The 16554-nt window shown below is 40.2% G+C and overlaps 1 protein-coding gene across 4 annotated transcripts in view; it reads left to right on the forward strand.

Annotated features, from left to right (window-relative positions):
• NFIA (nuclear factor I A) overlaps positions 1-16554 on the forward strand; it is a 385562-nt gene that overhangs the window by 246804 nt on the left and 122204 nt on the right. For all 4 annotated transcript variants that reach the window (NM_001145511.2, NM_001145512.2, NM_001134673.4 and 1 more), the window contains one exon: positions 8482-8556. In NM_001145511.2, the coding sequence (NP_001138983.1) occupies positions 8482-8556 (75 nt within the window). The remainder of the gene's footprint in view (positions 1-8481; positions 8557-16554) is intronic.

A 16554-nucleotide genomic window follows, 5' to 3' on the forward strand; every position in this document is an offset into this window, starting at 1 on the left:
CACCTAAAATGTTCTGTGTTGGGGTGAGAGGGAAGATTAACGAGCCACATTCCCACAGGTGGCTCATAAGCCAGTGGGGAATTCACAGAAGGAGAAATTAAAATTCCAAGGAGGGAGTCTGGTTGATGAGGTAAACTTTTCTTTAGAAGGATGAGAATGTAGGTTCCCTGAGAGCAGTGTCCCCAGGGACTAGCACAGACCTGCACAGCACAGGCAGTCCAAAATCCTTCTGGAATATAAACAGCGTGAGAAGGAGGGAGCTTTTCCCGTCAAGTGGCCAAGGCACACCAGCATGGAGAAGCCTGGTAATCATTGGCCTGTCTTGTTATTAGGGATGGAACCCTATTTACCAAAGGAAGACTAGAATAGAGATGAGTTCTTTTTGATGAAATGACTGGGGTATTGCAGTTTGCCTACATCCCTTAACCAGACGAGATTTGATCATTTAGAGCTGACAGCCCCTTGATATTCCAGCAGAGAAAACAAAAATACCATCTTGGATATAAACTTTCCTTCTCAGATGCAAAATTAACTCTGTTTCTTGGACCTGAAAACTTTCTTTAGTGGTCAGCCTCCTGTGTGGTTTGTTCCCAGGTGTCTCTGGCCTTGACCTCTGAACAGCTCTTCAAGGTTACCTGTCTCTCTTCAAATCTTAACTTTGTTCCTCTCCTGCCTGCTAAAAGGCGGATAGATGTTCAGTTCCTCCATGAAATGAGATTTAGTTCCCATGTAATGGCATTTTCCATAATAACTGCTGATATCATCAAGGTAAAGAGAGCTGCTTCTCCTAACTACCCATGAAAGAATTTAGCTTTTTATATTTCTACCTCTCCCATATAGTTTAATCTCTCCCCACTGCGAGTATGACTGACTCCAAGGTATTGAAGTCTGTGCTCTAATTGGGAATTCAATGAACAAGACTTCAGTGAATGAACTTTTTTAGCCATATTATATAAAATGAAAAAGGATCTGCTCCTCATTTCAATCTCCTGTACAATTGCTCCTGAACAGTAGTACAGAATTGTAGAGATAGCACATTGTGCAACCTGGCTTTTTATCTGAGACATACTTAATGAAAGCACATGTTTTGCACTTTTTTTCTGAGAGGCCCTATTCAAAATGTAAATCTTGGGACCTTTTGGGAGTGTTTAATGTGCTTTCCAATGGAGGATCTTTCAATATTAATAATATCTGAATTTGGAATCGCTTAAACTCACCTTTTTATTTTCTTTTCCACTTTTTTCTTACTTTGCAGTAAAGTGGAACAATCAGATTAGTGTCATTTCCCTGCAAGTCATTTTTAAGATTTGGTTTGTGTTCATGAGAATGAAATATTAATTCACTCAGGTTTGCTTAGTAGTTGTGTTAGCAATATCACTTTTTCCATCATTTCTTAGGTTTCATTTCTCATTGCTGTCTTCTTACAAAGTTCATCAGTGGGTTTCCAAGCAATTGGTAAAGGAACAAGAGCAGTTTCATCACCATTTAAAGTTACATGGAGTGTTTACACAGACCTTTCCATGGGGACATATTATAAACATAATCTAGCCAAGGCTGTCTGATAATACTGTGTGAAGAGATGGTTACATCAAAACCTGCCAAAGAAGGCTAGGCGTGGTGGCTCACGCCTGTAATCCCAGCACTTTGGGAGGCCAAGGCAGGCGGATCATGAGGTCAGGAGATCGAGACCATCCTGGCTAACACAGTGAAACCCCATCTCTACTAAAAATACAAAAAATTAGCAGGGCGTGGTGGCAGGCGCCTGTGGTTCCAGCTACTTGGGAGGCTGAGGCAGGAGAATGGCATGAAAGATAATGGCATGAAACCCAGAGGCGGAGCTTGCAGTGAGCCGAAATGGCGCCGCTGCACTCCAGCCTGGGAGACAGAGCTAGACTCTGTCTCAAAAAAAAAAAAAAAAAAAAAAATCTGCCAAAGAATTATACTCTTTATTTTTGTGATTATAGTGCATTCACATATGTTTTACCTTCTAAATTGCACACATTCCACTAAGGTAAGCCTTGGGAGGCAAGTTGCTGGTAGGGAAAAGGGATGAAATTGTTATTTTTGCAGTGACTTTCTCAGGATCACACAAGATCTTCTTTTAAGCTTGGGACTAGATCCTTTTTGGGTGGAGGGAGCTTTATGGCCATGATGGACAATGCTACTGCCCTTTAACTCTATTTTTACTTGAACTTTAAAAATATGAACCATAAAGGGAACAATAAGACAATCCCCAGGCATTTATCATCAGAAACGCCTGAATCAATCTGACCAGAAGCTTCATTGCCTGTCCTGTCCTGATCCTGTTTAGTTTGGAGGGAATATGTGGATGGTTCATTTTCATAGTTTCCCAGTACAGACTGACTCAGTTTTAGTTAAACTATATTGCTGGAAATGAGAGAAAGAGACAGAAATAAGAAGTTCTGCCAATGATTTTACCAAGAGGAAAAATGACATAGGTGAGCCCAGTTTGAGTTTCATTCACTCTGAGGCATCTCAGGAACACTGACCCCATCAGGCAGTGTGTCAAGACCTGGAGGGCCAGAGGCACAGAAGATACTTCCCCTCCTCAGAGGGCTTACAGTCTAATGTGAGAAAAAGACAAAGTTACAATCACGTACGGCAGGTCCCAGGTGAGAAATATAGAGTATAACTGGTCAGTATTCAGAAGGGAGAAAAAAAGTGTTCCCCAGTGGTGGGGGCAGCCAGGGAAGACTTTTGTGAGAGGTGACAACAAAGCTGAGTTCTAAAAGACACTTTAGGAGGTGGTTAAGCTAGGAGTAGGAAGAACAGATGTTTCAGGAAGAAGGAGCTGTATCAGGGGATGGCAGTGAAGCAGTGCAACGAGGAGCTTGCAGTTCACTTAGGTCAAGGGTAGGGCCAGAAGTGAGAGAGAATAAACAAGAGGCTATATCTAGGTCCCATGCCATGGAAAGGAGTTAGTACTGTACTCTGAACGTTCTGTGGGGCTCTTGCAAGCATTCTTTCTTTTTAAAAGAAAAAAAAATATATATATATGATATGTATATATCTACTATTATGATATGTATATATCTACTTATATATAAATATATATTTATTATATATTTTTTCATTTTAATAGTTTCCCAGTGCAGATCAGCTCAGTTTTAGTTTAAACTATATTGCTGCAAATGAGACAGAGAGACAGAAATAAGAAGTTCTGTCAAAGTTTTACAGTATATATAAAAATATATATTTACATATATATATTTCATTTCAGTGACCTTTGGGGTAAAAGTGATTTTTGGGTACATGGATGAATTGTACAGTGGTGAAGTCTGAGATTTCAGTGCATCCCTCACCCAAGTAGTGTAACTTGTACCCAATATGTAGGCATTTTTTTAATCCGTCACTCCCTACACAGCCGCCCCCTCCTGAGTCTCTGCGGTCCATTATATCACTCTGTATACGTCTGCACACCCATAGCTTAACTTCCACTTGTAAGTGAGAACATGACGGTATTTAGTTTTCCATTCCTGAGTTACTTCACTTAGAATAATGGCCTCTGGCTCCATCCACGTTGCTGCAAAATACATTATTTTGTTCTTTTTTATGGCTGAGTAGTATTCCATGGTATATATATATACCATATTTTCTTTATCCGCTCCTTGGCCAATGGGCATTTAGGTTGGTTCCACATCTTTGCAAATGTGATTTGTGTGGCAGTAAACATACACATACAGTTGTCTTTTTGATATATTGACTTCTTTTCCTTTGAGTAGGTACCAAGTAGTGGGATTGCTGGATCAAGTGGTAGATCTACTTTGAGTTCTTTAAGAAATCTCCATACTGTTTCACATAGAGATGGTACTTATTCTTACCAGCAGTATATAAGCATACCCTTTTCACCACATCCATGCCAATATCTATTATTTTTTTTTTACTTTTTATTAATGGCCATTCTTGTAGAAGTAAGGTGGCATCTCATTATAGTTCTAATTTGCATTTCCCTGATGATTAGTGATGTTGGGCATTTTTTCATGTTTGTTGGCCATTTGTCTATCTTCTTTTGAAAAATGTCTGATCATATCATTTGCCTACTTTTTGCTGGGATTTTTTTTTTTCTTGTTGATTTATTTGAGTTCCTTGTCAATTCTGGATACTAGTTCTTTGTTGTATGCATATTTCTTGTAAACTTTCTGATAGGGCAGGGGGCTCAGAACACATTGGATTTGTCTCAGTGTCTCCAACATCTTGCTCTTTCCTGCCTCAGGGCCTTTGCTCATGTTAATCCTCTGCCTGAAGAGCTCTTTCTTCTTTTCCTATTTGGCTCCTTCGTATCTTTCAGATATCAGCTCTTAAACAAGACCTGCCCTGGCCACCCTTTCTAAAGCTTTTGATATTTTTCTCCTTCATATCATTTATTTTATATATATATATTTTTTTCGAGACGGAATTTCGCTCTTATTGCCCAAGCTGGAGTGCAATGGCACGATCTCGGCTCACCACAACCTACGCTTCCCCGTTCAAGTGATTCTCCTGCCTCAGCCCTCCCGAGTAGCTGGGATTACAGGCAAGCGCCACCATGCCCGGCTAATTTTGTATTTTTAGTAGAGACAGGATTTCTCTGTTAGTCAGGCTGGTCTCTAACTCCCGACCTCAGGTGATTTGCCTGCCTCGGCCTCCCAAAGTGCTGGGATTACAGGCATAAACCACCGCACCCGGCCTATAATTTTTTTTTTTTTTTTTTGAGACGGATCTTGCTCTGTCACCCAGGCTGGAGTGCAGTGGCGCAATCTCAGCTCACTGCAACCTTTGCCTCTTGGGTTCAAATGATTCTCCTGCCTCAGCTTCCTGAATAGCTGGGATTACAGGTACACGTCACTACAGCCGGCTAATTTTTGTATTTTTAGTAGAGACAGGGTTTCACCATGTTGGCCAGGCTGGTCTTGAACTCCTGACCTCAAACGATCTGCCTGCTTTGGCCTTCCAAAGTGCTGGGATTACAGGCATGAGCCACCGCACCCAGCCTCCATTTATAATTTTTTTCTTTTTTTCTTTTTTTTTTTTTTTTGAGATGGAGTCTCACTCGGTCGCCCAGGCTGGAGTGCAGTGGCGCGATCTTGGCTCGCTGCAACCTCCGCCTCCCAGGTTCAAGCTGTTCTCCTGCCTCAGCCTCCTGAGTAGCTGGGATTACAAGCGTGCGCCACCATGCCTAGCTAATTTTTTTTATTTTTAGTAGAGATGGGTTTTACCGTATTAGCCAGGATGGTCTTGATTTCCTGACCTTGTGATCTGCCCACCTCAGCCTCCCAAAGTGCTGGGATTACAGGTGGGAGCCACTGCCCCCGGCCTGAGCCACCATACCTGGCCTATCATTTTTAAAGTAATTTTTTTTTTTTTTTTTTTGAGACAGAGTCTTGCTCTGTCACCCATGCTAGAATACAGTGGCACGATCTCGGCTCACTGCAACCTCTGCCTCCCGGGTTCAAGTGATTCTCCTGCCTCAGCCTCCTGAGTAGCTGGGATTACAGGCGCTCGCCACCATGCCCAGCTAGTTTTTGTATTTTCAGTAGAGACGGGTTTCACTATGTTGGCCAAGCTGGTCTTGAACTCCTGACCTTGTGATCTACCCAAAGGGCTGGGATTACAGGTGTGAGCCACAGTGCCCTGCCGTAATTTTTTTTACATGTTTTTAGCTGTTTCTGTAAACTCCCTGAAGGTGGGAACTGTATCTTGTGCCCCTAGCATGATGCATGGCACATAGTAGGTACTCCGTAGACATTTATTGAATAAATGAGTAACTCATCAGATTTGCATATCTGTCAGACAGCCCTGGCTAAAGGGTGGAGAGGGGATTGGAGAGCAAGCCAAGAGAGATGATAGACAGCACAGTTAGGAGGCTTTCCCACCATGCTGGTGAAGAGGGAAGGTCCTGAGCCACAGTCGCAGGAGGGTGATGGAGACATACATAGAGTCAGGAATCACAGAAGCGGTGGGGACTGGTTGGATGTGGGTGATTGTCAGAGGCAGGAGTCAGGGATGATGCCAAAAAACTAGATGAGTGGCCGATGGTTCATTGAAATATGGAATTCAAAAGAGTAAGAACGGGTTTTGGGTGCAGTAGAAAATGGATTCGGCTTTGCGCATGTTGGTTCTAAGAATACCTGTGGGCTATCTGGATGGAATGCCCAACAAATACTTAGATTTATGGGTTTGGAACCCAGGAGATAGATCTCAGTAAATGATAAAGAGTTGAGAGTCATTGGCCTGTAGATTCATTCATCTACTCATTCAGTAAATATTCACTTACTAACGTGCTTTGTCTCAGGCATTAAGTATACAGTGGTAAATTAAAACATTATTTTAGTTTTCACAAATATCACAGTCTAGACTGCTAGTTGATGACATGGAGGTAGATAAAATAACTTAGGAAATAGATACACCCCCCCCACACACACACACACACGCACACATCTGCACACACATACAGGGAGAGATGAGCACAGACCCTGGAGAACACCAACATTTAAGAGGTGGACACAAGAAAAGGGGGCAACCAGGAGAGGGTGGTAATTTGAATGAATGAACGCAAGGGTCTTCCCAATTCCCAAGTCCTTGCACCTAAATCACCCTAGCCTTTAAAATATATTGCTTGCTTTTTTGGTGGCAGGATTAAATTGCCTTGTGTTTACATTCACGCTATACAGAAATTCATGTTAGTTCATCCTTAAAATGAGGAATTTCAAAGATTGGAACTGAAACAAGTATCAGCCTGTAAGTCAAGTAAAGAAGGTAGGGATGAGCAAGAGCTGGAGATCAACCCAGATTTTCCTATTCATCTATGAATTTCCTTGTTATTGTTCTATGTGTTTTAAGTCAACCTTAATGTACATTGTGGTTAGATTTCCTTTGCTGTGATCTGTGGGATAAATGTAATGTTGATGGTCTCCCTATAAGAAAGAGATGTTGTGGTCTGTTTTGCCAAGACCTCATTAGAGAATTTTATTTATTTATTAATTTTTTAACTTCTCAGTTCTCTTAATCTAAGAGACAGCATCTTAGGTGCTTACCAAAGCCAATTGAATACCTGGGTGTGGGTGGTTTTGAGAGGTGAAATTTCTTGAGCACTTTGATGGTAAAATTTTGCCATTTTATTTCAAAAAGCCATTTACAATTATTGTCTATCCTAAAACTTGGAACTGTTTCATCTCAAATACCATAGATTATGTGTTTGATATAAAAGTTAACTGAAATTTAAAAAAATCTCAGTAGAAATTTCTTATGCAAAAATCCAGTGTAACCTAAAAAAGACAAGTAACTTGCAGGTCCATTTATACTCCTCCAAAACATGGCAACTTTTTGCATGTGTTTATGTGTATGACATTTAGTAAATTTATTGGTGGATATGCAGTGCCACAGGTAAATTTGCTTTCCCTCAGTATTGTATGAAATCTAGCTTTTATTAATAACAAATTTTGTTTATGGATTGTTATATATTCAGATTGGTCTATTTTCTTTTATTGCATTTTCTCAAGGTATGTTTCTTATGTCAAAGAACAATTATTTCAAAAATCCCTTCGGCCAACAATTTTTTGACCCAGATTTTAAAGCAGGGAAAGACTAAGCTGACCTTGGAGTGATCTCTCAACTAGACTCTACCTGTGTGAGAGTCATAGAATCAGAAAATTTTAGAGGTAGAGTGGGAAACTACATACCATAGATTATGTGTTCCTTGTCATTTATAAGTTCTATGTTTCTGAATGCATCATAAAATTAAATGAGTAGTTGGTGATCGACATAATACCAGGTGTCTTAAAGGGAATTAATTGCATCCAGCAAAAATGAAGCAGAAACAAAGTTCGAAGATTAATCACTTTTTGAACCATTGATTTATTATCTTTTCTCAAAAAAATCAACAGACACAAAAAAAAATTTGGGGTGTATAAATAATCTGAATTTTTATTTGTGCTCAAAAGAATTTGTTTTCCTGTTTTGTGAGTTGGGGCTTGCTTTTTCTATTTTGACTTTTTAAAAATTCACCCTGTGGTGCCTCTAGAAAAGAACACCTTTAAATCTTGTTTGAGTTAAATGAATAGATAACTAATTCCAATCAAATGTTTCTTTAGAGAATAATGTTTAAAAAACTATGATGGAATGCAGCTCTCCTAGTGATTCTTAGATATGCTGTTTTTATCCCAATTGTTAAGGTCTTAGAGGTCACCCAAGGTAACTATTTATTGTAAATTGTCTTTTGTTTCATATTTCCGGTTGAATTTTTTTTAACCATTTCAAAAATCAGCTAGTTGTTGTACCATAGCTTTGCACAACCTTGAAATTCAAACCAAAAATCTATCTGCTTAGCTAAATGACTGTGCCCTCCCACATAAACCCCAAGGAGAGCAGAGAATGAGATTAGGCACCACATGTGTTAATCATAATGAAACTAATATTTAAAGCTCTGTTGTCAAATGTCTTGTATTTATGACACTTTGTTTTCTTTTGTTTTTGTTTCCCCAGGACATTTGGGCTTCCAGGACAGTTTTGTCACATCAGGTGTTTTTAGTGTCACTGAGCTAGTAAGAGTGTCACAGAGTAAGTATAATTTTGCTTTGATTTGGTACAGATTTGCCTTGGTTTGTGCTTACTTTCTGCCTAGGACTCCTAGAGACCAAAAAAAGCTTTCAGAATCTCCTTTTCATTCACCCATTGGAAGAATTTTGACACACAGTTTGTTTGACAACCAAGAATTTAAATCAGGAAAAATTAAATATTATTTTGATGTGAGGCATAAAAGAAAGACCAAAATCCTGAGGGTCTCATATATTCTGAGGCTTCCCTGATTTCTAAGAAATTCTGCATTTTAAAAGAATTTGTTTTTGACCTTTAAAAAATGCTAATGCCCTCAGTATGAGTGACACAGTCTGGGATGATCATTACCAGTTTGTCAATAATCACTAACAGTGAATGAAGAGTACCTGTCACCATCTTGCTCCATTGATCAAAGGCCCATTCAATTGATTGTAGTTTTGTTATGACATAATCTAGCATGCACGCACACACACACACACACACATACACACACACACACACACACACATACACAGTTGCCTTCCCTTAGGAATCTGTTTTTTCTTATTTAAAAGCACAAATACAATGATTATGATGTTCCAGGTCCCAGTAAGAAGAAGGAAAAATAAATACCAAATATTAAAATTTTATTTTGTTTTACTCCTCCAACTACTTCAAAATACCACTTGTAGGTAAAATTTACATGGTTAAAATTGGTTTTGAGCAGCATCAGCCCTTTGTGGAATGAGCTGGAGTAAAAAGAAACATTTTCATTTCAGGTTCATACCCCCCATTCACTGTGTTACAGGCTTGCAAGATTGACTGAGTAAGCCAGTCCATCTCAGGGCATGACGTCAGGTCAAACAAGTCAAGCCATCCTGGTCCCAAAATCCTGGATTTTGTCTGTTCTTATTTTAGCCACTCATAGGCTAGGAGAGTCTTGAGAGCACAGAATGTGATACACAGTGTGGGAACAGGGGAGAATCTAATGACTACTGTTCATTTACTGTCTGCCAGGCACTGTCGTAGGCCTTAGTGTAAGGTACATAAGTTAATCCTTGCAATAAGCTTTTCAGACAAGAAATTACCCCATTTTTAAAGATGAGTTAAATTGAGGGTCTATATAAGTTATTTATCCAAAGTCAAACAGTGAGGCCAGGCACGGTGGCTCACGCTTGTAATCCCAGCACTTTGAGAGGCCGAGGCAGGTGGATCACTTGAGGTCAGGAGTTTGAGACCAGCCTGGCCAACATGGTGAAACCCCGTCTCGACTAAAAATACAAAAAGATTAGCTGGGCATGGTGGTGCACGCCTATGGCCCCAGCTACTCAGGAGGCTGAGGCAGGACAATTGCTCGAACCCGGAGGGTGGAGGTTGCAGTGAGCTGAGATCACACTACCACACTCCAGCCTGGGCGACAGAGTGAGACTCCATCTCAAAAAACAAACCAACAAAAAATTCAAATAGCGGATAAATCGTTAAGCTAAGTCTCTATAATGCCAGTATCCGTACTCTTAGACTGGCCCAAAGGAACTTGAAGAGATCTATAGCATGAGACTAGACAGGGAAACAGTGGGAAGGTAACTGTCGGGGTTAGAATTGTGGGAGTCAAGGACTCCCAGGTTGATGCTGAGGTATTCCAGTGTAGAAGAGTTGGAACCCTAAGAAATGAGACATTAGGAGCAGCAGGTCATAACTTGGAAGAGAGAGGTTGCTGCCATGGTATTGAAGCGTACTTAAAGTACCAACCGGTTAAGTAGACACTACATTGCCTTGTTAAGCTGGAGAGGATATGCTCCCCTAGTTATAGCACAGCTGATTAGGCAGTTATTTGCCATAGACAAATAACAGTGCATCTGTATATATCTTTTTTTTTTAACTTCTTAGGACTTTTGAACACAATAAATATCTCACATTTTCTTGTAATTTTAATAATAACCGTAATATGGGGAGTATTTGTGTGTGTGTATATATGTGTGTGTGTGTGTGTGTGTATATATATATATATATATATATATATATATATATATATATATATATATATATATATGTATCAGACCATACCAGTCATAGTAGCATTATAGGAAAATACATTCATTGAGCCCTCACTGGGATCTAAAACATAGCCTTAAAGAGTGAAATGAAAATCCTTTTAAGCGTAAGATTGGAGCACTAGCCATTTTATTCTGCCCTGGATGCTGCAATTCTTACATTTAGTCCTCATTACCATCAGCCTTCCCAGGCCTGGGGGTTGTATGAGAAGGCCCACACAGTACAGAATCACCCCCAGCCTCTCCTCCTCCTTCCACTCCCTGTCTTTCCTTTTAAGGTCTTATATCCCAAAGCTTATCAGTTCCAAGTTTGAGTAGAACTCTGGTCAGTCTAAGATAGCTTGGCTGCCAAATGAATTCTAAACCTGCCTTCAAGACTGCCAGAGATTATGGCTGAACAGGGATTGAGTTTGCAGAGGGACCTGGACTTGTTTCCTGTCCCTGCTTAGGGGGTTGCTTAGCCAGTGCCTGGCATCATGAACATCCTTTGGCTCTCAAATGCTTTTTGATTCTGCACACTGCTGTGTAATCGCTCTGGGACTCACTCACACATGGCCTCGTGCTGACGGAAACTGTTTGGCAAGAGTGGGTCTGGGCTGTGTCAGCTCGATCATGGCTTCAGGCCAAACTAGTCGACTGTAGTCAGGAGACCCCTTTTTCTTAGAGATAATCTAGGTTTGTCGGGGTATATTTCACAAGATTACCTTGGCTGCCTGGGTAAGGATCCCCAGCTCAGGTTTCGTCACCTACGCACCCTCCTGAAAGGCTTAACACTCAAGCCGCATGCTGGAGTTGAAATCCCTCAGCATTGCCTTGCAAGGCTGCCCTCTTCCTTGTTCCCCCATGTGGGAAAAGAGAAGCAACCGTTTCAGAACTATGGTGGATGCTTTTTGCAGATGAGTGGACCTGGGGTGCATTCTGTATCCTCGAATAGAAATAAGCTAACTGGCCAGGCGCGGTGGCTCATGCCTGTAATCCCAGCACTTTGGGAGGCCAAGGCGGGTGGATCACCTGAGGTTGGGAGTTCGAGACCAGCCTGGCCAACATGGAGAAACCCCATCTCTACTAAAAATACAAAATTAGCCAGGTGTGGTGTCGGGCGCCTGTAATCCCACCTACTCGGGAGGCTGAGGCAGGAGAATCGCTTGAACCCGGGAGACGGAGGTTGCAGTGAGCTGAGATCATGCCATTGCACTCCAGGCTGGGTGACAAGGGCGAGACTCCATCTCAAAAAAAAAAAGAAATAAGCTAACTGGCACAAAAGGTGATTAAACACATGATGTTAGCCCTGTTAGGAGTGTGATGTCATATAATATGAAAAATTAGAGTAGCTAGCATTTATCAAGCATATACCATGTACCAGGCATTGTGCTGGGTACTTTGTAAGCATTATCTCATTCAATCCTCCCATGGTTGGTGTTACTGTCCCTTTTTATAGATGGAGTCTGTGATGCTCCAAGAGGTTAAGCAACTTGCTCTTTTTCCTTTATTCTACTCAGCTAGCTGACTGCCTACCTTTTCATCAAAACCTCTCCTATAATTGCATTATAGAACTAAATAGAATCCAAGGATTCTGTGCTTTTATTGAATAATCAGTTCTTGTTGATTTGATACACTTTTAGCTTATTAATTTGTGCATTAAAAAAAGGTTAAAACTATTTTCATGTAAACCAAAGCAAGTAAGATACTTAATTAATTTTTTTTCCTGGATTTGTTTTTAGGTGTGAGTTTGTTTTTAATTAACAGACTTTATTCTTTTTTAGGGCAGTTTTTTAGGTTTACAGTTTTAGGTTAACAGAAAGTACAGAAGTCCCGTATACCCCTCCTCCAAAACAGTTTCCCCTATTGTTAACATCGTTTGTTAGTGTGGTACATTTGTTAAAATTCATGAGCCAGTATTGACGCATAATTAATAATTAAAGTCCACAGTTTACCTTAGGGTTCACTCTTGTACATTCTGTGGGTTTTGACAAATGCATAGTGATGGGTAGCTACTATTATGGTATCATATGGAATAGTTTTACTGCCCTAAATATCTCCTGTTCTCCACCTATTCATTACCTCCCACTCCCCACCACTGATCTTTTTACTCTCTCCATAGTTATGCCTTTCACTTAGATGTTTTTGATGGTCTCAGTGTCCTACAATCTCTGACTGTTTTGCAGATTTCTTCTTAACCTTCTGTTATCTATCCCAGCCCCATCCAGTCCCCTGCAATTATACCTAATTATGACTACTTACATGGGCTGAAAATTTCACAGTCATCATTAATGATGGCTTAGGTTGAGATTTTTCTCCCTTTCTGGATCTTTAGTATTCGATTTTTAAATTTGCTAATACAAATATTTACTTACACTAGGTTTCCAGTTAGTTTTTGTTTTTCATTTTCTTCCTTTTAAATGTAAGAGAGGAGGGAGGTGCTATTTCAGTATTTCCTCATGTGGATTCACTGAAATAACTATGTCCTAAGTGTGTTGTTTTTAATAGCGTTACTACCAAGGTGGCAATGGCAGAGAAACTCAGGAGAAAGCTGCTGGCTTAGCCTCACAAATTCAGAGGTGAGGGATGAGGCAACAAGGATGCTTGCCATTGAATTATACTGATCAGATACATGAACCTGTTGGAATCAGGGACTCCTGCTGGCCAACTGAAGCTGCAATCTTCCGTGAACTCCCCTTTCCTCCTTGCCTCCTGCCTACCACCTTTTAATTTTTTTTTTCATTATCATCTAAAGTCCACGAAAGGCAAGAATGGAAAGTTCTGCTTCCATGGCAAAGAAAATACTGTAGCATAAAAATCTATATTTGTTCTCTTGCTAGTTTTTCCCCCATGTGGTAGGACCATCTGAAAGTAGCTCAATTATTTATTGCCTTGTTCCAGGGGAGGAGGAAAATACAGACCACTAGATGCTGTGCCAGAGAGAGAGAGAGAAGTATTCTCTGCTTTGGGGAAGGGGGTTTTACAAGTGTTAACAATGTGGTTCAGAATCACTAAAGTTGTTTTAGCATAATACTATGAGGAAAGAGACAAGAACCATCTGTTGAAATGGCTCTTACATGATGCTGCATTTTCAAACAAAGCCTTCTCAAGGCATTTTTAGATTGGTCTCTTTCCCTTGAAGTTGCTACAAAGAGAGCCCACTCTACTAGCTGCTAAGTGATGCTGCTTAGATAGCTCTCTCTGTCAGCACCCACTCTTTTGTTTATTTTGCGCTAGTGTTTTCCTCAAAGTATGAGTGCTAAGGCTGTCAAATATCACTCCTGGTAGGAACCCAGAAAGTTCTCCTGAAAAATCCACTACTTCTGCCCATTTCCTTCCAAATTGCTGACTCTATTTTACTTGAAGTTGGTGGAGTGACTTCGAAACCCTAACTACTTCACTGGGAAAGAGGAAAACCGCAAATACACACAGGCCATTGTGACTCTGGCCTGGTGGGCTCTAATTTTCTAGCGGCGGTTTGTACACCCAAGCCGGCTGCAAGGGTTAAGTAAACTTCGTGGCTAAGGATGACTTCATGGCCCTGGAATTTTGAAAAGCCAGGATTCTCAGTACACTGTGGCCAGCCTTAGAGTCTTTGGGTGTGAAAACCACTCTCAGTTACCCGGACTGATTTTTGGTTCCTGTTGCAGTGCTGCAGAATCTATTAAAATCCGGCAGCTGAATTGTCCTGGCTCTGCCACAAAGCTCAGCTGCCGGGTCCACTACAGGATTCCTGAGTTGTTTGTCAATGGAGAGTGGGAGTGAATGGAACCAGGCATATGCCTCAGCCTGGCATGAGGTGGCACCCTAGTGGCTGTTTTCTGCCTTAGAAATGTGCGCTCTTTCTATATTTTCACACAGGAATTGTCATTAACATCCAAATTGCAGTTCATTTCTAAAGTTCTTTTTGAAGTCTCTGGGTCCTTGTTACGTTTTCAAGTACCCATATTCAGATGCTTAGATTTTCAGGCTAGTAATTTAGTAAGAACTATTGGCAATATTCTAACCTGACATGGTGGAACTTCTAAGACAGAATGAACTCGGCTACAAGGCACAACAAGAAAACGAAACTCTTGGGTAGGAACAAGCCCAAACTTGAAAATACAAAATGTTCTTGCACAGAAGGACTAATGAGGAAATGGGTGTAGGATAAGAAATTCCAGACATCCAGTCATTTGGGGTGCCATTTAAACATTCGCAGTACTTTAGATCTTAATTAAAGTGGGATAGATTTAAAACTTTCTTTCTAAACTAGTGGCCTGTTGGTTTTCCTGTGTTAAGTAACACGATAGCTGTGATCATTGCATGGAAATTAATTTTTAAAATAGCTTATATTCTTAAGCAAGATCTTCTTTCAAAAGAAACCATTTGGGCTCGAGCATTAAAGGAAGAAACAAAAAGAATATAATAAAAAATAGATTGCAGCCCTAGCATGAACAGTTGCCGTGACCTTGCCTTTTGTTTGCCATTACACAATTCAATGGCAGTCTACTCAAACTATGTGCTCGATCAATATCCTATTAAAGCAGCACAAAAAGTCTCCATAAACTTAGTGGTTAGCTATGTTTATAAATGGAACTCGGCATAATTGGATGGTCAATAGCAGGCTCTACTAGTAATTTTAAAATGAACGTCACACATTTTATATCTGTAGAAGTCAATGGCACCTCTTCTAGAGTGAAGGTAGAGTGTGGAGCAGACAAAAGAGTGGGTGGCCCTTTAAAAAAATCATAATGTCTATTTCCAAATGTAGTTTTTAAAGAAAATCTAAGTTATGGAAGAGAAAATTCTGATTGGCCCCTATATATTTTTATTTTGCCTATCTGAACCACCTTCTTCTGAATATATTATGACTTTGCAAATGTTACATTTTCTAGTTTTAATCAACCCCTCATAGAGAGGTAAAATAATAAATATTGCCATACTCGTAGGAAGAAAAATAACAGTCTGGCTGGCTTAATTCAGCCAGCTTCCTCTACTATAATTCAATAAATTTTCAAAATAAATATTGAAATTGAATTAGTTCAGGAGGATGTTTTGTTGTATGATTTTTTCCTTTTAATTTTCTTGACATGTTTGGGGTGAATATTTGGGTAGTAAAGCTGGCAGCAAGTGCAATGGACTGGTAGTAATAGAAATTGTCGTCAAACTACGCTTTCTTCTGAATCCTAGCTCACAGTATGGGTGGCCAAGCTTGATTTTTTTCCTATCCTACCCTCCTCACCTAATGAAGCCATGTAAGGTGAGAGTATCCCCACCCTTAGACTGACTCTGTCCTCAGCCGACTCAGCCCTATGAATTAAAAGGTGCATATACCTTGTGTTCGATATGTGCCCTGGCTGTTGTCATGGACCACTGAGCTGTTGAAATTAGAACTATGGCAGGAATACGCTTATGACATTAGTGTATCCTTCAGTCACTGCTCTGCATGAAGGTCTAGTCCTTTCTCTTACATGCATACTCCTACAATCTTCCTGGTTAGAGCTGGCAGTGAGAGTTCTCATGGCAGAATTTGGGGCCGTTTTGATCTCTGTTCTCAGCTGAAGCTTCTGATAAATTTACCAGACTATGAATACTCTTATTATAAAGATTTGAACTGGGGAGAAACACAACATACCCCTTGATGTACATACTAATGTGTTGTCATGGTCTCTATTCGTATGTTCATCTATTTCTAGGTCATTCATCAGTTATGCTTTCTATGTGTCAAGTATAAAACCTATATTCAAGATGGCAGCATGATATTGTAAAACAGTACAGGATATAGAGTTGGGGAATTGAGCTTTGCAACTTATCAACTCTATAGCTTTGGGCAATATTTAACCCCTCTTGGCTGTGTTTTCTTCTAGGTTACAATCATTTATTCATTGAGCAAATGTTTATGAAGTCCTAACTGTGTGCTGAGTCTAAGTCCAAGTACTGGAAATAGGAATACCTCTCAGGAGTGTAATGAGGGTTAAGTGACAGATAGTCTAGTGTCTGCCACATAGTA

This window comes from Homo sapiens, chromosome 1 (assembly GCF_000001405.40).
Source record: "Homo sapiens chromosome 1, GRCh38.p14 Primary Assembly".
Lineage (NCBI taxonomy): Eukaryota > Metazoa > Chordata > Mammalia > Primates > Hominidae > Homo > Homo sapiens.